This window comes from Homo sapiens, chromosome 2 (assembly GCF_000001405.40).
Source record: "Homo sapiens chromosome 2, GRCh38.p14 Primary Assembly".
In the NCBI taxonomy this organism is placed as follows: Eukaryota; Metazoa; Chordata; class Mammalia; order Primates; family Hominidae; genus Homo; species Homo sapiens.
Window position 1 is genome coordinate 151,705,908 of NC_000002.12, and position 25,997 is coordinate 151,731,904.

Genomic DNA, 25,997 nt, shown 5'->3' on the forward strand with positions numbered 1-25,997 from the left:
TGGGGACTTGAGTGGAATGTTGGGGTGGGAGTGAGGGAGTAAAGACTACATATTGATCATAGTGTACACTGTAGGTGATGGGTGCACCAAAATCTCAGCAATCAACACTAAAGAACTTTTCCATGTAACCAAAAACCACCTGTACCCCAACAATGACTGAAATAAAATGTTTTTTAAAAGAAAGCAAACGTGCTTTACAGTGATTTCCCAGCAGAGCTATTTGGGCAGATCCATTTATACCCTCTCACTTGCCACTTTCCCACACCTGCTCCCCAACCACACACACATATTTCCTATGCTGCTGACTTAGTTCAAGGGACAAAGAAAAGATAACTAACCCACACAGACAGCTACATAAAATCCACAAATGCTAGGAAAGCTTAATGCAAACCTAACCGTAAGAGATAAACTCAAATCATCACATATTCAATCTCTCTCTCTCTCTCTCAGGCTGTTAGTCCTTTAATCCCAAGCCCAGTCTCGTTTGCCTAATATGCTTTAAATTGAACGGCTTAGTCGGGCTCTTAATAATTACACAATTAGAAAGTCCTGTGAAGACTTAGGGGCCCATCTTTTAAGTTCTGTTGTTGGCAAATGATGGTTTCTGGGGCCAAGATCTATCTTTGAAAGTCTCCTTCTGCTTCTGTCAAAATCACAACACGTCTGCAATGTGGAGACCCAGGTGCCCGGAGCTCATAAGCAACACATCCATATGGAGGCCCAGGTGCCCAGAGCTCCTAAGCAAGTGAGAATTTCCCTGCCCATTGAATTAACCCCACAGAACCACAAACAGTAAGGCACATTGTACTCAGAGGGACTCATGCCTTTCTGTGGTTACATAGTTCCAATGAACCTACCACTCCATAACCTTAATGTATTTGCAAAGTTATATATTCATTTAGTCATTAAAGGAGAAAATTTTCATCTCTTTTGCAGCTAAGGTTTAAAAACACTTTGACAAAAATATACTTACGTCACTTAGGGCATCTCCTGCTGCCTTCAGCTGCCTAAGCTGTGGGTTCTCTGAAGCAGGAAGCACATTATAATCTGCTTTTCCTTTATTCTTTTCATAGTCTTCTTTGTATTTTACCTGTAGGAGTGAAATAAAATGATAAAGTAACTCTATGGGTTATTTTTGCCCCCGTCTCTATTATGAATATGACATACTTCCACAAATCAATTTTCTCTTTAGAAAAATGGCAGCTTGACATTTTATAAACAAAATACTCATAGTAACTCTTAAAAGCAGCAGAGAAACTGCATAAATTTCCAGGATGCTTTTTCTTCCCATTCATTTATTCATTCAAAATTATCCATAGGGTGTCAATTCTGTTTCTGGCTTGGGGACAGATATAAGAAAGAACACATGGTCCTTGCCCTCAAAGAGAGAGATACAGAAATAATAGGAGGGAGAAAGAAATCCAAATAGTGATCATGCATAATGTCCCAGATACCTGCTGCTATAGAACCTTCACTCAGCTCTCAACCCCCAGCTACCTACCTGCCAACACGCTCCTAAAGAAAGGAAGCTGGAAGTACCACTAATCCACGCTTTTATGCCTCACCTGCAACTGTGCATGGAGCACACATGTATTCAATTTACAAGTAGGAGGAGGAGGATGGAGCAGGGAGAAGGAGCCTTGCTTTTCCTTCTGCTGTTCCTATTTGCACTTTTAATTCCAGCTATGGCAGAAGCAGCAAGTTGAGGGGTGTTGGGGGAGAATAGGGAAGGCAGGGTTCACAAGCCCCCATCAGGAGCCTGTCCACAGGGATTAGAACAAGAAACTGATCCTGGTTCCCACCATGATCCCCAGTGTAAGCCCTTTATTCAGGCAATATAAGCACAGAAGTTCAAGGAATCCTAGATAAATCTACCACTTATGAACTCAGAAAACAAGGCAATCAGCTTGGTATCCAAAGGCAAGAGATACACAAGGGAAGCACAGAGGCATCAACCCCTCAGCCTCCACAGAGCATCACGACAGTATGCTACAGTAATGGGAGACTCAGATCACTTTTCCACCTTAGAGAATTAACTGTTTCCTTGAAAAATGGAAACGACCAGAAAGCAGATTCACAAACTTTACTCTCCCCCTACCCGCATCTGGGATACACAGCCTTCTCCCCTGTTATGCAGATGAACTGTCAGGGCTTGTGGCAAAGCCATCCCCTCCTCTTAAGCACCAAATCTCTTCCCCTTCCACCTGCTCTAGGATATCACTCCAGACATTCTTCCCCATTCCAACATCACCAAATCTTCCCTTTCTACTGGATTCTTTCCATCAACATGATGCTTTTGTTTCGTATCTTAAAAAGTCCCTCTTTACCCAGTTTTTCATTAGCTACTTGCCCATTTTCTTCTTTTCTTACCAGGAAAATACTTAGAAAGAGTTGAATATACTTATATCTTCAATTTCCCTCTTTTCATTCACTTGTGAATCCTCTCTAAGCAGACTCCACCAAATTGCTCTTGTTCAGGTCACCAGAGACCAGACATTGGTAAATCCATTTCAGAGACATTTGACACAGTTGATGACTCCCTTCCCCCTTCACTTGCTTCCCAACGCATTGCCCTCTCCTGATTTTGCTTCTCCCTCATCTTACATATATGTTCCCATGGAAGGACCCCAGAGCTCAGCCCCTAAAGTTTTCTGTTTACACTCACTCCCTTGATGCTCTCCAGACTCATGGCATGAAACACTCTCTGTATGTTGATGACACCCCAGTTTATACAACTTTCCATATATCTCCCCTGAAACTTCAGGCTCATGTAGTCGACTGACCTCTGACACTTCCATGTGGATGTCTAAAAGGCATCTCAAATCTACCATATCTGAAGATGAGCTCTTGTCTGTCCTCCAAAAAAATTACCAACTTCTTCCATAGTCTTCCCTGTCTCAATAAAGGGAAACCCCATTCATCTAACTGCTTAGACCAAAACCCGTGTCATCCAATCCATCAGCAAATCAAGTCAGCTGTGCTTTCAAAAGACTTCTTATCACCTGCCCTGCTACCCTCCTGGTCCAAAACACCGTCTTACACGTGGATGCTGTAATAGCCTTCTAAGTGATGTAATCCTGCTTTCTCCAGCATAGCCAAGGCCAGGGTTAGAACCAAGTGTGTTTGGCTTCGAAGTTTATGCTCTCTTTAGTGACCATCGTGCTTTAGAATGCTAAGGACTCAGGCCATTCACCAAAGTCACTCAATCAAACATATGGAAATATCCATGGATTTATGAACCTGCGACCAGGTTTTTTCATAGTCAGTGGGAAAATAAGAAAAATAATGATAGTGTTGCATGTATGATTGCCTATCTTCATATAAGGCCACCAATTGCCTCTTCCTGGGGGGAGAAGTCCTGCTGTCTAAGATTACAATCTTTCTCCTTCTAAACAGCAAAAGGCCCTTCCAGTGAGAAGACACTAAATCAAATTGATAAATGTACAGTTTGGTTCCTCAGGCAAATAATAAATTAGGAAATATTGAAGATGGTAATTAGATGTTATTAATGCTCATACATGGCAAAACATTTTTAGTAGCCCCATTATAATTCCAAAGTACTTTTGTTGTTGTTCTTGTTGTTTCAATTCTACTCTTTTTCAAATGCCTCACATCCACTGGTCTCAGCCCTGGTAGTTCCCCCAAGAACCACTCCTCCCCTTTTTTACTAATTATATACAAGAGCCAAAGTTATAAGAAATTTACCCACACTCAAACCATCAAGATAAATGGGATGATTTCCTCATACCTTGCTAGCTGCCACACCAGCTTTTTTATTCATTTTATACTCTGGTGTTTCGGTCTGCATGAAGTAGATCTGGTCTTTCATGTTTTCAAAATCTTCCTGGTATTTCCTCTGTAAGACATCAGACAAGCTGAAGAACTGCTGTGGAAATGAACTATGCAAGAATTTCCATGAGAAGACACAGGGATTTGGAAAAGTTACACAATGCCACCCTGTCCTTGGTTTAGGCTGGTCAGATTACAATTAGAGAATGTGGTACCATTACAAAAATGATTAGCAACTTAACAGAGATTTAGAACAATTAAAATAGGCTAAAAACAGAATTAGAAAGGCTTTTCTTGGCTACCAAGAAAGATCTCTTAAGGGCCAGGAGCAGGGAACTTAAGAGAAAAGAAAAACAATAGACTTATGTTTTCCAGTGAGGAGATGCTAAATTAATCAATTTCATAACTGTACAATTTGGCTCCTCAGGCAAAGAATAATTAAAAAGAGTCCCTTTAACTTGTACTAATCTCACTTTGCAGTCAGTAAGAGGGTCTTACCATAATGTGTTGTAAAAATTGAGGTAGAAATAATGGCATGTGGCCAAAATAATATTTCTCAAAAGGAAAGAGAGTTTGGGAAATTTCTTTCTTAAAAGGAACTCTGCACCAGGTCTTGCCCCAAGAAGAGGGGCCTCAAGTGTTCTGGCACCCATTCAGGTAGAGCAAGTAGCTAGAAGTCACTAAGGAAAGGGGTCTCCCTCCCAGGATGACCAACCAGCCATCCCTTCCCACTTAACTGTGCTAATGTTATCAGCATTCATTCTGGCATTTGCAACTTCAAAGCAAGGTGTCTCACTCCATTTGCCTTTGATTTTATTTTCATAGTCTTCTTTGTATTTTTGCTAGAAAAAAGAAAAAGAAAATAAGACAAGCATAACTCATGAATTGACAAATAAGACAGCAAATTAAGAAATAATGATTAACTTTTAAAAATATCTTCAGCAAGCCATTCTTAGGTCCTTAATAAATGCCTTTAAAAAAAATCTTCCAATGTACTGTCAATTTACCCAACCAGAAAGTTGGGCGATAGGGATAGAGAATGGAGAAAGAGGGTACTAACGCCCCCTCCCCTTGCTGAGTTTGGGGACTTCATTCATTCGGAAGTTGCAGATGTCCCCTGATGTTTAAAGAAATAGAGTCAGAAGTCATCCTCTATTTATATTTCAGTTACAATACAACCTATCAACCTGAGATTTCTATGCCAAATGAACTTAGCCGTTAATTTCTAAGCTTTACAAACACTCCTAGTTTTCCAGAAAGAAACAACCACAATAAAATTCAACTTGCAGGCTAACGAATAGATCTTCGCCTTTAGAGTTAAATTTAATAGGAACTGGAAAGTAATTCAAAAATTGAATTATTGCCCCATCTGACTCCCAAATCCCACTCCATCTGAATCCCAGGCTGTAAGGCTCCTGGAAGAGAGAAGTGGTATGTCTTCTTCACTTTCATAGCCTCAGAACCCAACACAAAATGCAGCACACAGAAGTTACATCATAAATGTTTGTTCAACTACACTAAACTGAGACCATGATATGCGGTTTTGAAATACCTTGGCTGAAGTGTTCTTGGAGCAGAATTAACCAAGCCAACCCCAAACCTGGGTCCATGAGCTAGAGCCCAAGCTGAGTTAGAGCAATTCTCCCTCCATGGCTCATAAAAATGTGTTAACAGACATAACTAATGGGTCTCAAGGCACTGGCATATGCCTACATCCCCACAATACCCTTTAAGGAAAAAGAAAATGTCTTTCTGGTATACCTTTAAGAGAAGGTGAGTGATGTGCAGAGTCAACGAGCTTGGGTTAGAGGAAACTTAGCCCTCACTCAAATGCCTAATTTCCTTTCTTCTCAAAAGGTTAATATGTAAATAAATAGCCAACTGGTTTTCGTAGCTATAAATTTTAGAGTCCTGGGCCTGGGTTCAAACTCTGGGACCAAGACTTGACTTTGTCTTGACCAAATATGATTGTTTTCTCAGCCACAAGTGCTGGCAATAATATTTACAGAGAAGGCTGCTAGGAAGTTTAATAAGATCATTCGCTAAAGAGTGCTTTGTAAACCCCACAGTGCTAAGCAAATATAGGGTATAAAAATTGTAATAATAATAATAGTTATTACTATTGTCATCATCATAACAGAAAGAAACTCTGTAAGAAAGAAAATTGTATGTGCGGGGAGGGAACAACTCTTCAATGGAAATCTTTGCTGAGATAAGATTTGTGCTATACTGCTGATTGATTTACCTGCACTCTGTTTTGAAGATTTAAAGAACAGAAGTCAATAAAATTGATTTCTGGATTTGCTAAGACTACTTATAGAAATGTTTCTCATCTTTTTTTTGGAGACAGACCTCTTCAAGAAACTGAGAAAGCTATAAAATGCTCACAAACAGTTATAACTTCAGAGGTTCTTGATGTACACATACCTCAGGTTAGGATCTCCTAATGCATCATTTTTTGGAGAGACATGGCCCTACCTCTTGCTTGTTGTCAAAGGAGAAAAACCTTAGGATTGGGAAGGGGCAATTGGGCCTGATCCCCAAAACTGAGATCCAGAGAACTTTGAAATATAATTTAAAGTTGAGAAGGTAGCAGATATTCTTAATGAGGTCTAAATGTTGGGCATTTATCAAGAAATAGGCATTGCATATGTAGATTTGTTAAGGATAATTGAGCAGGAGATTAATTCTCACAGTGAGAGATAGATGTCTGGTTTTCAAGAAGATATTAAAACAAGATGCAAAACAAGAGTGTAAGATCACTCAACCCCCTCATCCAAAGTCCTTCCTTCCTTCTTAATCTTCACAGACCACGACATGTTATTTCCTCCTATCCAGCAGCTGAAATGGGTCAGGGTGGAGATCGAGCTCTCACAATCCACTCCCGAGCACTGCCAAGTCTGGGAAGATTTTCATGACACAGGAGGAGGCTGGAGCTTGCTGGCTACTGAGGAAGTTATGGCCTTCTGTCTCATTTGTGAGTAGGAGAGAATTTGAAAGGACAAGGGTCCATAGGTGAAGGAGTGAGAGGAAGAGAGAGGTATGTGTCCATGTGGGACCCTCTCTACCAGCGAAGGGGTCCCACTCTGCAAGTCTGAGAGTGAGGCCAGAGCTTTTGTACAATACATGGAGACGGGTTACTCACGTCAGGGTCCAACATTCAACCTTCCCAACATCCAAACACAACAGAGTTGGAGAGAAAGGTTAGGGGGAAACCTTTCTCTCCAAACTCTGTTGTACTTGCAGTTGAACGATGGAAACTTGGAAGAAAGAGTCAGTTTCACTTCTCTAGAATTTTTTTGGTTTGTTTAACAGAGGAATGTATGTCAGGCCAATTCCAAGCTCTGGGACACCTTCTCTGGGTAAGAGGGTGACCATGTGTCCATAGATACAGTAAGATTGTTTCCCTCCTCCTCAGAGGTCAGCTGAGGGGACTTCCATGGGGCCACAAACTGGGTACCCTTTGTCTTGCTTAAACATATAGCTTCATTATCTACTTTCAACATCTGAATCTGTAATTTTTATGTGGTTACCAAATGGAAAGGAATACAAAGCCAGTTAATTACCCTTCTCTTTTTCTGTGAGGGGCTAAGCACTGGGACTCCTGATGGTTCCATTCATAGAAAAGTTATCCCTGCAGAAAAGGTATAAAGAACCCAGCTGGTATTTTTATTGTCCACAGTGGGCCTAACACTGCCTGCTTGACTCAATCAAATCTCTTCTGGTGAAATCAATGGAAATCTTTCCAATTCTATGTGATGGAAGAATTTCCATGGTTTTAGAGGGCCTGGGCCTGGTATCCTCATGCTGTGTAACAATATGTCACTGAAAGATTAGTTTTTTAAAAAAAATTTAGGCTCCAGTTGGTATCAGTGGGAAATTCCAACCTGAAATCTCATATTTTTTCTTTTGTGGATCTGGAAGGGAGCAGAGAGGCAGGTACAGAGAAACTAAAGGGACTTTCCAGTGTCGCATTCAGGGCCCCACTTTCAGCTGGTCATGGTGTGCATAGCTTCCCCACCTGGAAGGCCTGTTTCTATGAACAACTCTGACTGTTCATCTATGTTAGAGCTACAAAATACAGCTGAGACAGAAGGAAGTATGTAGCTAATGGCTTTGGCCAAAGACAAAGGTGAGAGAATTGATTCTGACAGGTGTAGTAAGGAAGGCTGGCAAACGGAAGGTAACATTAGTGTAATCACTGCAGATATGCAATCATTACCATCTGAACTGGGAGCTGTAAGAAAAGGGTGTGAGGATGAACAGAGAACTCCACCCCAAAATATGGCTCCCTAGTATAATGAGTATTTTGAATTAAAGGCCCTTAGAGATTAATGGAAGCTAAAAGAGACTTCTTTCTACATAAAGACCAGACAGACCCACTAAGAAGAAAAATTGTTTCCCCGCTAACCTCCCACCCCCATCCTGTCTCTCAATCCTCCAACTCTCCCAAAGCACAGGCTCAAGTTTCCTTATCTGTCTAAGGTCCGGACCTACCAAAGAAGAAAACAATTCCCTCTGACCCCTTCCCTGAGTTTTCAACTGAACCTATATTGCAGGAGGGAAGACTAAAGTCTGTCAGAAACCTGGACAGACTACTGTCATAAACCATTGTTCGCTTTGTGGGCCCAACAGACTTCACCCCAGACTATTGTATGTTCTTCAAACCCATTGAATTCTCCCTAGTAATCATTTCTTGCTCCTCAACAGAATTCCTCTTCTCCCCACTCCCCATAACCTGTTTTGCCAGGATCCAAGTTCATAGTCTTTCTGTAACCTCAAGATGGTATATAAGCTTCTGCACCCCCTGGGGAGCTGGAGCTTCATTCTGAAGGCTCCCGTGTGTGCATGTTAAATAAATTTGTATGCCTTTTCTCCAATTAATCTGCCTTTTGCAAGCTGATTTTTCAGCCAACCTTCAGTGGGCCAAGGAGGACCCCTTGGCCCCAACAGATGGATCTGGGAGACATGATTCAACAAGGGGATATTGAGTTTAAATGCATGTGAGTGACTAGATAAAGGAGGTTTTTTAAAAAATTTATTTTTTTATACTTTAAGTTCTAGGGTAGATAAAGGAGATTTTTATCCTATTTTAGGGAGAAAGAAGATATGATCCTGCTGCAACATGGGCCAATGCATCTTGAGAGTGAGGAGGGAAGATAGTACCAAAGGTAAGTCACTCTTGGCAGCCCTGTGCCTCCCTTGTTGGATGGTTTGTTGTTGGGTGGACTTCTACCAATCACAAGCATTTCTCCCTAATACAACTATTATTTTGGATGCACAATAGTCATTAAGAACTCAGAAATCTGGGTTAAGACTGGGAATAAATAATGTCACCATGGCCAAATCCAGTGACCTTTTTCCACAGCCACCTCCCCTTAGCTCATATTATTACTCCACAGGGCAAAGCCAGTTCTGGCAATGCTTTCAAAGTACCCAACACTGTCACCTTGCCCACCTAGAGTGGTGCCATCCAATGCATATATAATGCAAGTCATTCTTGTAGCCACATTTTTAAATGTAGAAGGAAACATGTGGGAAATAACTTTAATAATACAGTTTACTGAACCCAGTAGATCTGAAAATTAACATTCCAACATGTAATCAACATAAAAATATTAATTTGAAACATTCTTTTCTTCATAATTAAATATTCAGATCCAGTGTCTATTTCTCACATATTGGACACTAAGTGTTATGGGATGAATGTCTATATCCCCACCCCCCAAATTCATATGTTGAAGACCTAACTCACAAGCATGTGATGGTACTTGAAGGTAAGGGGATTTGGGAAGCAATTAAGTTTAGGTGAGGTCATGAGGGTGGGAACCCCATAATGAGATTATCATCCTTATAAGAAGAGGAAGAAGAGGAAGAGATCAGAGCTGGCTCTCTGTCTCCAATGTGTGAGAACACAATGAGAAGGCAGCTATCTACAAGCCAGGAAGGGGTCTCTCACCAGGAACTGAATCCGTGATCTTAGACTCCCAGCCTCCAGAACTGTGAGAAAATAAACGTCTATTGTTTAAGCCACCCAATGTATGGTATTTTGTTGTAGAAGCCCAAGCTGACTTATATACTCAGTTTATACTGATCAAATTCAGGTGCTTCCTAGTCACATTTGGCTAGTGTCTACTGTACTGGAGAGTGTAGCACTAAACCAACTGGCAAGTCTAAATTGGTGGAGAGAATGATTATAGACGAGTTTGAAAGTGATTTTCAAAAATCACTTTTAAGAATCCCCACTGCATATTTAAATAAGGCAAAAGAATGTTTCCTTAGTAAAGTATCTTTTAAAATAGACTTTAAATAAACATTTAAAAATAGATTCCTTTTTCTTTCTAAATGACCACTTGAAAACACCTTTTTATTTTTCTTCCAAAAAGATAAATTGTCCTTCTCCCGTCTTATTTACAATATCAACACTTTCTTTCTTTTTTTTTTTCTTTTTTTCTCTTTTTGAGACAGTTTCACACTTGTTGCCCAGACTGGAGTGTAATGGCACAATCTTGGCTCACTGCAACCTCCGCTTCCCGGGATCAAGTGATTCTCCTGCCTCAGCCTCCCAAGTAGCTGAGATTACAGGCGCCCGCCACCACGCCTGGCTAATTTTTTGTATTGTTAGTAGAGATGGGGTTTCACCATGTTGGCCAGGCTGGTCTCGAATTCCTGACAGGTGATCAACCCACCTTGGCCTCCCAAAGTGCTGGGATTACAGGTGTGAGCCACCGCGCCTGGCCAATATCAAAACTTTCAATGGATCATGTATTTATGTACAGTTCTAAAGTTAATTTCTGCTTAGCCTTGGGCAAAATTTCAGATTGATAGTATTCCTATTGGTGAAATTTTACTATACTTACTAGATCCTTTATCCAAACAGCTCATAGTTACACAGTTAGGTAATCTACAATATAAAACACTAATAAACATCACTGAATAGACATCATTATCCATATCATTTCATCATTCTTCTCTACTAGATACTTTACCCAGAAAATGCTTAAGATAAAAATCTTGAGGTTTCATCAAAATTCAAGCAGAACAAACTGACACTCATCTCCACAGAGGGCAAGATAAAGTATTTAAAAGCAGCAGTATCCCAGGAGAAAGTGGTCTGATTTGGACCAATTTAAAATAGGAATTTAGCATGGGCCTATTCATCAGCTAAGCATCTGTCTCTCTGCATTCCTCATCAGAGCCACATTCCTCAGAGCTAGTTTACTGCCTAAATATAGGTAGACTAAGCTGTTTGTTAGGGCCTTAAAAGTTATGAGGTCCACTGCCCACTGCTGTTAACTAAGCTATGTCTGAGACACATTCTTATTTTTCCAAGTGTGACGGATAAGATAGAACTATCCAAGGTCTTCACAGTGAATTTAAACCAGCTCTTCACGGAAGTGTGTGGTTATTTGGTGACTCTGTAGTATTACTGTCATAAGTAAAAATGTCAAGTGACATTAGAACATGGCTTCTGTTTTCAAAAGGTGATTTTCACATTTATCAATTACTGAGTCATCAAGCTGGCTAAACATTTATTAACACAGTTCTTGACGTTTATGGATGTATTGCTTTTGCTGTAGAGTCTTTGGGGATCATATGTAAAAATACTCCTAGTGTTTGTGTTTTATCTTCAGTCTCACCTTTAGTAACCCTCTCTGATGGTTGAAATTATTAAGCAGAGTCTTCAAGGGAGGCAATGTCCCAGCTCTATTTACTTACCTTGCTCACTTGATTGGTTACTTTCTTGGCAAATTCTATATCTGGAGGATCAGCCAGAGGCGTGAATTGAGCTTGCTGTTCAGCGAGACCTTTTTTGTAGGCAACCTGATGAAATAAAAGACAGGGATGTATTTTAAAAACGATTATGCTTTCATCTTTATTTGAAGTCTTAAATTTTAGTGTAACATGTTATAATTTGTCCTAGATGTTACATACCATTGCTCTCAGTACTGCTAGTGATTTCTATTTTGCTGAATTTTCTTCCCTCCTCCTCAAGACTCATGGCCCTAGATCTGCTTTCTTCCATTCATTTCCATGCCATGGTTTGCAACTGCAATTATTCTCTTAACCAGCGTCTTCAACTCCCAACCCCTTGTCTTTTTATCACATTCAATAAACCCCCAGCCTTGGATCGACTTGACCATATACCTCCTTTGTTCTTTTTTTTTTTTTTTTGAGACGGAGTCTCACTATGTTGCCCAGGCTGGAATGCAGTAGCGCGATCTCGGCTCACTGCAAGCTCCGCCTCCTGGGTTCAGGCCATTCTCCTGCCTCAGCCTCCCGAGCAGCTGGGACTACAGGCACCCGCCACCGTGCCCGGCTAATTTGTTGTATTTTTAGTAGAGACGGGGTTTCACCATGCTAGCCAGGCTGGGCTTGATCTCCTGACCTCATGGTCTGCCTGCCTTGGCCTCCCAAAGTGCTGGGATTACAGGCGTGAGCCACCGCGCCTGGCCAACTTCCTCTGTTCTTATGCCTAGGATGCTGAATGCCACAGAAGAAAACCTGCAACTCCATGGATTAGGCAATGCTAACATGATGAGTAGGGTTAAGAAGGACACAGGAAGAAGGTACAGGGCAGGGAGACTCTGAACCCCAGCACTTAGCTTGAAATCTACATGCCTGCCCAGTGGTATGTTCTGTGAACAACAGCTTGCTTGGGGCTCTGTGCCCAATACTCTATGACCCTATGGTATACTAATGCCATTTTGTCTTCAAGGAAACTTTCACAGCCCATTATGAGTCTCTGGTTAGTCCCTACTCTCAGGGGCCAGTCTAAAACCCCAACACTGTCCTTAAGCCCACAATCAACCCCACCTTACTCTCAGCTTCCTCTTTCATAGAGTGAAGAAACGCTACACACTTATCTTCTCCATATTCATCCCTGCGTCTCCCACCCCTTCCCTGGCTCAGAGGAGAAACATCCTTCAGAGGGAATGACTCCTGCACCCAGGGTGCTGCCCTTTCCAGCATATCCTTTTGCACCCAGCTCTCTCAGTCATCCCTCCTCTTTCTCACAACCCCAAACTCTCCTTCTTCATTAGCTCCTTCCCTTCAGCCTATAAAAGACTTCTATCACCTTAAAATAAGTATGGTGCCCACAAATAATGCATATCCTTCTCTCTTGCCCTCCTTTCTCTCTTCATTTCTGATTCCTCTGGTTCTTTTGTTCCACCAGACTTGGCCCCTGTTTCCAACAATGCAGAACTATTCATAGATCCCCAGATACATGAAGCCCTCAGATGCTTCACGGCCTCGTACATGCTGTTCCCTCTCCCCATCTGTCTGCAAACCGCTGTTTCCTCTCCATGGCTCAGGACACCATGACTCCCCTCTCAAGCCTTCCCTGACTCCTGAGCCAGACGTGATGACCTTCTCCTGGGATCTCACTCAACTTGGCCATTACCTCCTTTAGAGGGGTTGTCAGATGACACTGTAATTTTTTGTCTACATGTCTCTTTCCTCTTGACTGTGAGCTCTGGGATGGCAAAGAAGATGTCCTATCCTTGGGAACCCTTGTGGCCTGCATAGTACCTAGCTAGAGCAAGAGTCAATGACTGACATCTCAATGTGTGTCTTACACACTGAGGCCATGGGGGAATGTCTCAAGAGGAGAATTATCTTTCTAATCTTCCGTGACACAACTGTGAAGTTTCTACGATTATTTTCCCTTCCTCATGGCAGTGTTCTTATTTATCAAGTAAAGCAGTTGAATAATCCCAAGGTCCCAATCATCTTTATACTTTAACCAAGTCTAACTGTATCTTATCCCAATAATATCTACCTAGTGCCTATAACAAAAGCTTTCATGGACATCAAATCAATTGGGATACAAAAGACAGATTTTGAAATGTATTTACACAAATTCCACAAACAAGCCTGGCTTAATTTCTTTTAAATAAGTTAAGCAAGGCACAGTGACTCACGCCTGTAATCCCAGCACTTTGGGAGGCAAAGGCGGATGAATTGCTCAAAGGTTCAAGACCAGCCAGGGCAATACGGTGAAACCCTGTCTCTACCAAAAATACAAAAATTAGCCGGGTGTGGTGGTGTGCACCTGTAGTCCCAGCTACTTGGGAGGCTGAAGTGAGAGGATCACTTGAGCCTGGGAGGTGGAGGTTGCAATAAGCCAATAAGCCAAGATTGTATCACTGCACTCCAGCCTGGGTGAGAGAGTGAGACCCTGTCTCAAAAAAAAAAAAAAAAAAATACAAACTGAAGACTTCATTTTAGGCATAGGACAACAGGATTTTTCATGGCTGGTTAAGTCCTTAGGGTAAAAGCAACATTTGAATAGGATAAATGTTTATTAAGTATGACATCCTGCCAAGAAGTTTCAGACAAATCAGATCTAGAAGTCCTAATTTCTCAGGAACCTTCTTCAGAATTCTGTTTAGTTAGAATTCTGTTGTTATGGAGAATAATCTGATTTTTAAAAAAGTAAAAAAAAAAAGTTCAGTATTCTGCATCAGCTTAAAGACTCTTAGTGTGTGCAAAGTAGTTTGTCTCTACTTAGTTAATAAGGAAAACATGATAAGTAGATTAAGAAGGACACAGGAAGATAGTACAGGAGAGATAGCAACAGCATCTAAGCCCAAGCCCTTAGCCAGAAATCTATGTGCCTACACATGGTGCATTCTGCAAACAACAGCTTGCTTAGGGCTCTGTGCCCAATAATTGTAGAAGTTCATAGTACTGACAACAGTATTAATAGGCATGTCAATAATCTGATACTGAGTGCACACTTGGTCTGCAATTAAAATAAAAGCTATGCCTTAACTGTCACATCTTTTTGAGGAATAGCAGGGAAGACTTTACTTCATTATTGTATGTTCTCTTTCATTACATCTTCTACTGTAATTGCTCAAAACATGTGGCCAACTTTCATTGTTCAAAGTCCATAGCATTAGAATGGTATGAAGGTAATCCTTCATCTCTCCATTTGATAGATGAAGGGAGATAGGAGATTAACTGTCTTCTTGGAAACCTCTCCCAGGCTTACATGACATGGCATTTCCTGGTTCCTTTTCAACTTCGCTGTTTGTTCCCTCATCCTTTTGCTGGCTCCTGTTCAGTCCTAAGTGTGGGTGTCCTCCAAAACTCTGCCCTTGGCCATGCACTCTTCTGCTTCCCTCATAGATGTTCATGTCTTTGGCTATCACTTTGTTCTGATGACTCTCAAATATTAATTTCTTGCCCTGTTCTCATACCTGAGCAATGGAACTTTCTAATTTATCCATAGGATGCCTTGATCTGAAGTTTCCTTCAATCATCTCAACTCCATTTCTCTTTCCATTAACGCACCTTTACCAGCTGTGCCCCTACTCACCCAGACCACCAGTCTACAGTCAGAAGCTCCTCTAGGGCTTCTTTCTCTCCTTTGGCTCCAATATCCAATGCCATTCATGCCTATTAATACTTATTACCCTCAGATTCCTTTCTTCCTCTCCTTTGCCCTAATTATTACTAAAATAGATTTCTCCAAATTACCCAGTTTTTCCTGTATTTCCTAATCTCAATCTATCATATTGCTCATCAAAATTACTCCAGATTCTATTTTTATCATGCTGTTTTCCGCTCCAAAATCTTATGATGCCTCTTATTTATTACCGTTCCATGTCGAAGCAATTTTGTCTGCCTTTCAAGGTCCTGCTGCCGGCATTCTCACAAGTGCCCTCCAAATGAGGCACTCCCATCATTCATTTTCCTTGTCCCTCAAAACTCAGACCTCATTTTACCTGTGTCCCCTTGTTCAAGTGCTCCCTCTACTCAAAATGCCTTTCTTCATCACCACCCATGCCCTTGGGACCACCACCTCCACATGGCCTTCTCTGATTACTCACACGTGTTCTGTCTGTCTTGTAGCAAGTATTAGACTGTTGGGTTTTGTTTCATTTTTAACTTTTTTCTTGTTGTTTGCTATATCATACTTTTATTTTATCAGCCTGATTATAAATTCTAAGAGGAAAGGATGAAAACTGCTTGTAGTACTTTTCTATCCTGCCAGGTGTGCATGCATAATAGACTTCCAATAAATAACTATTGATCACTTGGTAACAGCCATGTAACAATATTGTGAATCTGTGAGATACAGAATCAAAAAGCTAATCTTGAAAGAGAAGCAAGAAGTACTCACACAATAAAATTGGTATCATGTGCTAGATGACTTCAAAATTTTGTTACACCTTCTCTATTTCCTAACTTACCTGTGGAAGGATACGACTGTATCTGTGTTATATTTTAACCAATTACATAGAAAGTGAAATAGAAAAAGATGTCCACTAAACTTGCAGGTGATATGAAGAGGGTGGCGTTAAAAATTAGACCTCAAAAGTTGGAGACACCATCAAATTGGTGTGTATAATTTTGGTTCATGGCAAGATCAGACCATAGATTCCATTAGAAGTAAATCCCAATCAGTCTGAACTGGCTTACTAAGTCCAAATTGAGTATAAGAGGTTCCAGGGATCTAACTGACAATTGAATGTCAAATAACTTGTCGCTTTATAATACAGTGCTCTGCTGAAGACTGGAGTAGCAGTCTGGATTTTCAATATGGCCTCCCGCAAATCCAATGGTCATGTAAGAAAGTACCTCAAAATAAGGGAGAGTGTTAGGCCCAAGTGGGTCTCTCTGCTGCTGTTGCTGCTGGTTTCAAGCCTAAGGACTCTGTTAAGCCTTTTAAGTTCCTCTAACATACAGTTTTCAAGGTCTAGGATACCAAAATTCCGGCAAGTGGGATCACTGATTTTTCACTAACTGAAGTATCTTCTGATAGCAAGAGCTCTTTGTGGGATAACTATACAAATGTGTTTTTGGTTTGTTTAGTTGTTGTTGGTGTGGTCATTGTTTGTTTGTTTGTTTTTAAGATGGAGGTCTCGCTGTTGCCCAGGCTGGAGTGCAGTGGCTTGATCATAGCTCACTGCAGCCTCGACCTCCTGGGTTCAAGTGATCCTCCTACCTCAGCCTCCTGAGTAGCTGAGACTACAGGCATGCACCCCCACACTTGGCTAATTTTTTAAAAATATATTTTGTAGAGATGAGGTCTTGCTTTACTGCCCAGGCTGATCTCAGACTCCTGGCTTCAAGCAATCCTCCCCTCTTGGCCTCCCAAACTGCTGGGATTACAGGGGTGAGTCACCACATCCAGCCACAAATATGTTTTAACAAGTACACTAGTCAGGTCCCACACACAGAAAAAGGGAGACACACCACAATTTGGACTTGATGATTAGAATAGTAAGGCACAACCCTTCCATAACATTGTTTACTTAATAGATTTGGGAAGGTGGCTATGATTACAATAGGTTTTTAAAAATTGTCATTCTGTTGTCACAGAACAACTTCAACCAGAGCCAAGGGGAAAGAAGGACTCATGCTCTAATGGGAAGAATACTAGTCTTGGGCTCACAAGCCTGGGCTCTGCCACTAACTAATGTGACCCCAGATTCAGGTTTGCCACCTATAAGAAGAGGGAACTGGACAAGATTATATTTAATATAAAGTGTAAATTATATCTAATTTAAATGAGACATCATAAATTATAACAATTCTAGACATACTCCTCTGAAATACAACATTTAGTCTCTTATACAGAAGAGTTGCAGTGACCATCTGGCCAGAATATGTAATTCAAGTTCCCCTGACTCTGCACACCTAAGTGGTGCCACTTGCATTTCACTTACATCACTGAGAGCTTTCTGGGCCTGGGCAACTCTCCTCAGTTCCGGGCTATCATTATAGGGGTAAAACAAACTTTTGTCTGCTTCCCAGTCTTCAGTGTACAGTTTCTAAATCAAAAAAGAGTGAAAAGTTAGGAGGAAGTAGGGTCACGTTTACACAAAATACATAGTTTTGAATTCATCCATTAATAACCTAAAGAACCAAGGGCCAGGTGAGAGCAAAGGTAAATGAAATTCACAGATAACTTCCCACTTTCCATCCAACCCAAGTCATTTTTACTGATAGCATGCCCTGCTTTTTCTTATTTTCAGAGGGGCAGATGTGTCTGATTTTGTTTCAACTTTTCTCTGTGACTCTACCTGCCTTCTTTGTTTTTTTTTTTTTTTTTTTTTTTTGGTCATTATTTGTCATTGTTTATTAATAGCACTTACAAGTGCTAACACAATGTAAGGAGCCAGGAAGCACTTCACATAGTTCAGGGCAATATAGGACACTTGCAAGAAGGGGCACAAAATAAACCTCTAATTAGAGTAATAGCCAGGGACATCCAAAGTATACCAAAGGGTCTACAGACAATTTTGAGATATTACTTTGTGGCTCTCTCAGCTGGTTCTCCAGAGCACCTTTATTCTCCACAGACACTCCCCTCTGCCCCCAGGTTGCTCAGGTTCCCAAAGGACCCTCTCCCCACTCTGCCTAGGAGCTTTCCTCTCAGTTCCTTTTTGCCAAGCCCTATCCCTGCAGTCTCACATGTCTCAAGGCTACTCATAAAAAGATTGGGGAATTGTATTCCAGATGATCAAGAGTTCACCAAGTATTACATGAAATATATGATGGGATGACATAGGAAGACAGAAGTGGCAATGGAGCAGACCCTTACCTTGCTGAACATGGCGGTGTTCTTAACGGCCTGGACAAGTTCAGGGGCATCAGGAGGAAGCAGGTACTTATCCTTGGTGTCTTCCCAGTTCTGCTTGTATAAAACCTAGACAGAAGGAGCAGAGGATCTGTGGCTTGAGGTCTCACCCAAAGGCATGAGGATTTAAACAACAAAGGGAGACTCATGAAGGCATGCTTGCTCAGAGGTTGCCAATGGGTTACTAGGAAAACATTGACCATGCCAACATCCTATAATACTTTTCCTACAATAGTCAGCTTTTGATTGAAAATTCTAATTCCTTTCAATTAAAAATTTAGCTCCTCAGCTTCTTTGGTGACACTGGGACTTCATGCAGCAACAGCCTGGAGCCGAGTCACAGCTGCCTCTTTGGGCAGGGCATGGACTCTTCCATCCACCCATAGGTTCTACAGGCCACTCAGTCATCTGTGCAGCCTCCTTGATGAATACAGGTATTGAACTCACACTGCCCATGAGGCTGGTGGGCAGGATCAGGCCTGTCCAATTTTCTCCTATAAGACAATGCAGAGGTGATGCACATGCTACTGAGTACCCCAGCCATCCATATCATTGCCTTACCTTACTGACTTGCTGCGACACTTTCTTTGCATGTTCAATATCCTTTGCTTTTTCATCTACGTGACATATAGTCTTAGCAACATCACCATCCATTCGATACTTAACCTGCCCAAATAATGCACAGTTAGAGTTCATGACAGGCATGTACATGTGAGTATATTAAGGAATTTCTTATAACCACAGAGCATTACCCCAATGACTCTAGGTCTGCATCACAAAGCATAGTTTCTGCATTTTAGCTGGAAAAATGTGATCTTCAAAGAAGCACCTGCATTTACTGCTTGTCTGCTTTCCTGGCTGGATCTCCAGCCTGCTGCTTCTTGGCCTTACTGTGCTACAGTGTGGAGAACCACAGTGAGTTGGAGCTTCCATCTCATAGTCTCCTCTTAAGCTAAGTTGCTAAGCCAAGCTTTTAGAAGTTTCTTTGGGTTCACATTTACAGCAACATGATCTATGGTTCATGCTTTTCTAGATTTGTGAACTAGCTCATAGTAATTCAACTGCTCATTCTCACAGCACATATTTAGAGCCCACAATTCCCAGCAGTAGGTGTATTTTGAAATGTCCCTCTCCTTTATTTCAGCAATGCAGCCCACCTCACTGAGTTGATCTTGTACTTTTTTGATTCTGCGAAGTTCTGGAGTATCTGTTGTGCTGGCGTATGGCTGTCCTTTTGTTTTCTCAAACTTCTCCTTGTATTTATTCTGAAAAGAATATCAGATATTAGCCTAACAAGACAGCAGTGAAAATTTCAGGCAACATACTCACCCCATTTGATAAAAAAAAATCCTTCAAGTTATAGCAATTATCAATTATAATAGCTTTCTTTTTGTCCCCTACCCCAACTCTCAGCAAAAACTAAAATAGATTTGATAATTGCTTCTCCTAAACATGGTTGGATCTTGGAGACAATGCAAATTTATTATAGACTATTGTCTTGGAAATACCCTAAAATGATTCTTTCAATCTTTTTTTTTGTCTGAATGCATACATAAAAAGCCTAAATCTCAATTATTTTAGAAAATAAATATAGAAATTGAGTTAATTCTGAAAAGATTTGAGTGCTAATACAATGCAAAAATATTCAATTCAGAAGTTGCAGCTAAACTTCAGTAGTTCAGATAGCTGAGACACCAGCTGAATTAATGGCAGATCTGAATTATATTCTGTAAATTTAGGAATGTGATTTTATTATTTCTGCTGAATACACAATGAATTCTTGCTTTAATGATAATGTGCATAATTTATCATTATAAATGTTTTGGGAGTACTCTTAAGTGGAGTAGTGAACAATCTAAATTATACTATTGATTTGGTTACTAACCACTTAAAAACTATTACAGACCTTTGCTGGCATTCTGTTCAGAACATCAGAAATTCTAGGTTCATGGGATCTGAATTAATAAGAATGTATGGCAATATATTGACAAAAAATTCTATCCTTGCTGAATACTGCAGCACTAAAGAAGTTAAGAAAATCTTGTTTCTAGAAACCTGTCTTAGATTATTTAAGGCTCTGAACTAGAATTTTACCAAACAGTGAGCTGCTATCATTTAATGAAAAGTGAGTATGTATTGCTCAACCTCAATAGGATGCTTTTGACATAAACTTTAGTCTTATATAATCCAATGTTCTCTTAAGCTACATTTCATTTTTTTAAGCCTCCAGAGGACATGCAATCAAGCCACCCAGTGAGACCTCAGCCCACCATGGACAATAAACAAATTAGACCCATTGAAATGTGTCTGAATCTGTCTGAATCAGTCAGTGTAACTTACAGAACTGTGCATGGGAATCTAAGGACCAGGGACCATTGAGAGCAGTGATTCTCAACCTGGGTACACATTAGAATCATCTGGGCAGCTTTTTAAAATCCTTTTGTACAGGGCTGGGCATGGTGGCTTATGCCTATAATTCTAATGTTTTGTGGGGCCAAGGTGGGAGGATCACCTGTGGCCAGGAGTTTACGACCATCCTGGGCAACATAGCAAGACCCTACCTCTATGAAAAAATAATTAGGAGATCCTACAATTTTTTTTTTAATTAGCCAGTCATGGTGGCATGCTCCTGTAGTCCTAGCTACTAGGGAGACTGAGGTAGGAGGATTGCTTCAGCCCAGGGGTCTGGGGCTGAAGTGAGCTGTGATCAAGCTATTGCTTGATCCAGCCTGGGCTACAGAGAAAGATTCTGTTTCTTAAAAAAAAAAAAAAAAACCTTTCTGCACAGTCCCAACTCTGAACAAATTAAACTAGAATGGCCTGAGCATCATTAGTTTTAAAATTCCCAGGGGGTTCCAGTGTGCAGCCATGGTTAATAACCACTGTTTTAAGGTATAGCCAAACATTCAGATCCTCAATTTCAAATGAGTTCTTAGTCTGATCTTGGATTTTTAAAATAAATGTTCTTCTTCACTATACACCTCTTTACATACCTTTTTATATGCTGTTAGCTAGTCTACTAAGAAGCTATTCTGCTGACATTGTTTAAATATGTTAAGTAGCTTCTGTGAACTGGCCTAAATTAAATCTGTATTTATGATTTCATTATTCTAGATTGGCTAATAGTGATTAAATACCAATAAATGCTTTATGATTGGCCTTATGCTTATTTTGCAGGAATGATTTCAATAAGAATGCTTTCTTATGCTGCAATGGTATAAATGAATTACATAAAAGGAAAATTCAACAGTCACAAGAGCCTATAATTTGCAAAATAAGTTTTTGTTTCATACAGGTTTGAGAAACAAATCCAGCCAGCATCCAAAACAGAGTGAGTTGAGATAAGTAATTTCTTAATAATCAAGCCAGGTTAGCAGAAGTTGTTTGAAACTTACTGGGCTAAAAAGATCCTGCATTTTCTGACTGTGTGCAATGTAGGGGGTCATGAACTTTGAAGGATCCACTTTCTTCCGGATGACCTTCCTCCTCTCCACCGGCTTTGCTGATGCTGGCTGTGCCAGTGCTGGCTGTGCCAGAGCTGGTTTGGAAGTTTCTGATTGCTCATAGTCAGATGTCCTTGTTGTCGTAGTCTCATAAATTTTTGTTATTGTCTGAAAATTTGATATGCAGTTCAACATTGTTGTGAAAGTAAAAACTGTGCTACTGTGATCTTAGTATATATTAGTCTAACTTCAAGTCAGATATACATTCCTGGTGTTACTTCTCCATATCTAAAGTAAGCCAAAGCAGGAAATGGCACACTGTAGCCGTATGAAGGCACATTATGTACACAAATCTGAATGCTGATTGTTGGGATTGCGTGGAATAAAAAGTTTACTCCTTATTACTTTGCAACATTGCCTTAAGTTTGCATTTGCAGAAAGACACTCGAACACTTCAAAGTAGTGGGGGGGAAATTGGCAATAAACTATTTTTTTAAAACAGTTGAAAATCTTAAGTTGCCTGGGTAAAGTAAAAGCAAACTTGAGTTCGGGGAACAAAAGGTTAAGATAATCAAACAAAGCTCAAATTCTTGACTTTAATATTAACTTGTAAATGACTAAGGGAAAATTGGTCGTTTGTTCTGCAGGGATTTAGGCATTCTCCACTGTAGTAGGAGACAAAGAATAATGAACTTTAAAAAAATGAATCGCATCAATATTATAAGAGATTTTCATTCCCTTGGCTTAGTCAGTTAATTAATGTGAACCGGAGTGCCATTTACACTAATAAATGCTTAGGTGGACAAGAATAATGATGACAACATAATGGGGTAATTATCCTCACAACAGTCCTATCTACGTAGTAGGTGAGAAATTACTATTTCTTACAGCAGGCTGTAGTGGAAGACACTAAGACCCAAAGTTTGGGTCTAATCCAAGGTTAAAAATAATGCATGTAAGAAAAAAAGATAAGCAGCCAACTCTTCAATCCATTTCACAGTATCCTTCCCTTCACAGCTAATATCATCTGTACCAAAGAATTCTAGCATCAATTATGAAAAGAGAACCTAGTAAGGAAATTGTACATTTACAAAAACCCCCTCTAGTGTTGTCACATCATTGCTAATAGGTTGTTTTCTGCCCATGATTACCTAGGCATGGTTGACTGTGAGAGACTAACCAAATTACAGCATCTACAGATACTAGTTTTTATGCAGTCACAGGCTCTCTGAACAAGCTTCAGGATTAACCATCCATATCACTGTTTGTCATGCTCAAAGAGAAACAGCTGCATGCAGAAAATAAAGCATGAGAGAGGTATTTCACCTTGAAAAAAAAAAGAGCTTGAACGTGGAATATTTATGGTAATAGGTTATTTAGAATTGCTAATGTGCTAAAATCTGAGTAGCATTTCAATGCATCATCAGGGACGAAGCCCTGGAGACACCATCCCTGGTGGCAGAGATGGTGTCCTACAAGTTATAACTCCACACAGTAAAACTGCTTGTCCCTATGCCAATCACAAAGCCAAGGCTCCTTGGCTTGTTGTCACCATCCCTCCTGCTGCTGTTGGAGAATGGTGATAGCCACTGACATTATTCTAATTAGCTTCATCTACACAAAAATATCACACAGAAGAAATAGGGGGAACCACCCCCTGCCATCTTGCGTTTTTTGAATAGGAAAAAAAGGTGAAATAATCCATCAAACAGGTAATGTTTGTGCTTTCACACCAGCTTCTGGGCACAGGTAGGTGAGTGATCCTCTGTCAGATAATCCCTTTTGCCATCTTTGTGGCCCTGGGAGTCTAAGAAAGGAGAAAGCTCTTCCTGCTTTAATGAGAATGCAGTTTATGCAGCTGTGGGCTGGGCCTTACCTCTCCCGGCACCTCTTCGTAAACCACTTCTTCTGTGTAGTACTGTAAATAGAGCACAAAGGCATTGGCAAGAGAACCAAAGCAGAAACCACCTCTCCTCTGCCTCAGCTGAACCACTTAGGTGACTGCACTAGCTCGGTTGATTTGGAATGTCTGTGGGAAAGGGGTAGGTGAGGGAGCCTGTTCATATTTTGGAACCCATCTTCACTTTGTAATACTTCAGGAAAGCTAAAGTGAATGCCATCCAAATGGACAAAGAGATGCAGAGGGCTGAGAAAAATGTATGAGGCTGTTTTTTAATCAAGAGAAGCTATTTTACTTTACTGGGACATGGAAATTTTTTTCTTATGGTCCCCAAGATAGAATTTGCTGAGAAGAGAATACAATAAGAAGATCCTGAGTGTGTGGGTTGGGCAGAGAGGAACTGTGATAAAACTCACTGTTTGCAAACTAACAATAAACTAAAACAGAAACTCGAGTGTGAATACATTTTTAAATGGATTGCATCATGGAAATAATAAGATCCCAAGGTATATCCACATCTCAATTATTCCTATACCCTCCTGATTAGTAAGTAATAAGTTTCTTCTGGAGTGATGGGTGAGTCCCTTTCAATAGTGTGATTGTCCTAAACAGAGTGGTGCTAATATGAAAACTGGTAAATGCCAAGTAATGAAGGGGAAAATGAGAAGATTCTTCATCACAAAGTGTGGGAAAGGTAGGCTGCAATTTGCCATAGTGGCTCTGAGGTCATCATGGCCTGCATGATGGATCTGCAGCCTGGATCTGAAACCAAGTCTACTTTTGTTCTACTTCTGACATCACCAGCAATAAATAGATGCAGAAAGGAACTGGTTGACACTTGGTTTCAGATGTGTAAGGAGAGAGGAATCCTGTCCTTAGCCTCACCCTGCTCTGTAGGGTGAACAGAAGGAGAGGCTCGTTTAGGCCAAGCACATGAGGAAAGGGATAAAGATGAAACACTTGGCTCATTTCTTAGTGAAAAAAAAAAAAAAAAAAAAAGGATGTAAAACACTTTATGCTTCCTTTTTCTTATCTTTAACACCAAAACATACAGCACTCAAGGGAAGGGAAAACATTAAGATGCAAAATTTCCCTCAATGGCCTGCATTCTTTTCAGTGAAGTGTCATCAAATTACTTAACCATTGTCAGTAGGCCGCCTGTGCTATTTCACCTGCGTTAACAATCGTCTAGAACTTGCCTAATGTTCCTCATTCTTGTGCTTTCTTTACTCTTGAGCTATTGTTTTAATTTAAAATCTAATTCTGCCTGTATGTCGTTACACATAGCAACAAAAATCACAAGCACTGACAGGACAGAGATTTGCTTTTTTACAGTTGTGACTTTTCAGCACATGAGAAATATCATTTGGACACTAGAAAATATTGTTTGATGCTGACGCCACATAGAGTCATTCCTCCAGTCACACAAAACATCAGTGGCTTCAGAAGAAATATTAAAATAAAATGGAAGATTCACAACTATTTTGGATTTTCTCAGCATCCAAGTTTAAAAGCAGCTCCTTGGAAACCATTCAATTTTACCTTTGCTGGGCTCTCACCATTGGTAAATCCATCTTAGAAATACGCTTATAAAAGAGGCAACATTATTTAAATGGTTGGCATTAACTTGTATGCCAAATCTCACTCTTTTTTTAGAGCTGTGCCACTAATTAGATAGTGCATCCTTGCTTCTCTCTCTTTCTTTTCAAGTTTAAGTTAGAGTAGAGAGAACAGTAAAACTTTATTTCAGATGTCCAAGATCCCAAGGAGATATATTTTTAAAGCCAGTTCTTCTCTGTTTTCTGCATATTTTTAAAGCTAGTTCCTCTCTGTTTTCTAAAATCTTCCCTGGCCATTTTTTCGAATGCACCACCCTCTTATGCTCATGATCTTTTTTGAGGTCAAAGAGATCTCAGTTCAATACTTTCTGGCAGGCAGTCTATTCGTTTATCACCTGCTGGTCAGACACAGATGCTGTAATGGGAACAAAATGGTAGGGATGGGATGTCTAAAAATAGCCACCTCCTTTTTTATGACATCTAGTTGAATCAATCAAGTCTAGCACTAAGGACAATTTCCAGTGGCAAAGGTACACAATTATTTTAAGAAAGACAAGGGATATTTAAGTTGGAGAGTAAAAACTGTTACTGGCATTATTATCATAGGGAAGACAATTTAATTTATAATTGTATTAGTGTTTGACAGTGATATTTCTGACCCTTAGGTACATAAGTAAAATGCACACTAGTGATAATATCAGCATGAA

The 25,997-nt window shown here is 40.3% G+C and overlaps 1 protein-coding gene across 47 annotated transcripts in view; it reads right to left on the reverse strand.

Annotated features, from left to right (window-relative positions):
• The window catches only part of NEB (nebulin), a 249,138-nt gene that overhangs the window by 220,569 nt on the left and 2,572 nt on the right, over positions 1 to 25,997 (reverse strand). For all 47 annotated transcript variants that reach the window (XM_011511227.3, XM_011511226.3, XM_005246613.3 and 44 more), the window contains exons 4-13: positions 23,708 to 23,749; positions 21,784 to 21,999; positions 19,546 to 19,653; positions 18,950 to 19,054; positions 18,353 to 18,457; positions 17,475 to 17,579; positions 11,509 to 11,613; positions 4,527 to 4,631; positions 3,749 to 3,856; positions 974 to 1,090 (exon numbers count right to left, since the gene is read on the reverse strand). In XM_011511227.3, the coding sequence (XP_011509529.1) occupies positions 974 to 1,090; positions 3,749 to 3,856; positions 4,527 to 4,631; positions 11,509 to 11,613; positions 17,475 to 17,579; positions 18,353 to 18,457; positions 18,950 to 19,054; positions 19,546 to 19,653; positions 21,784 to 21,999; positions 23,708 to 23,749 (1,116 nt within the window). The remainder of the gene's footprint in view (positions 1 to 973; positions 1,091 to 3,748; positions 3,857 to 4,526; positions 4,632 to 11,508; positions 11,614 to 17,474; positions 17,580 to 18,352; positions 18,458 to 18,949; positions 19,055 to 19,545; positions 19,654 to 21,783; positions 22,000 to 23,707; positions 23,750 to 25,997) is intronic.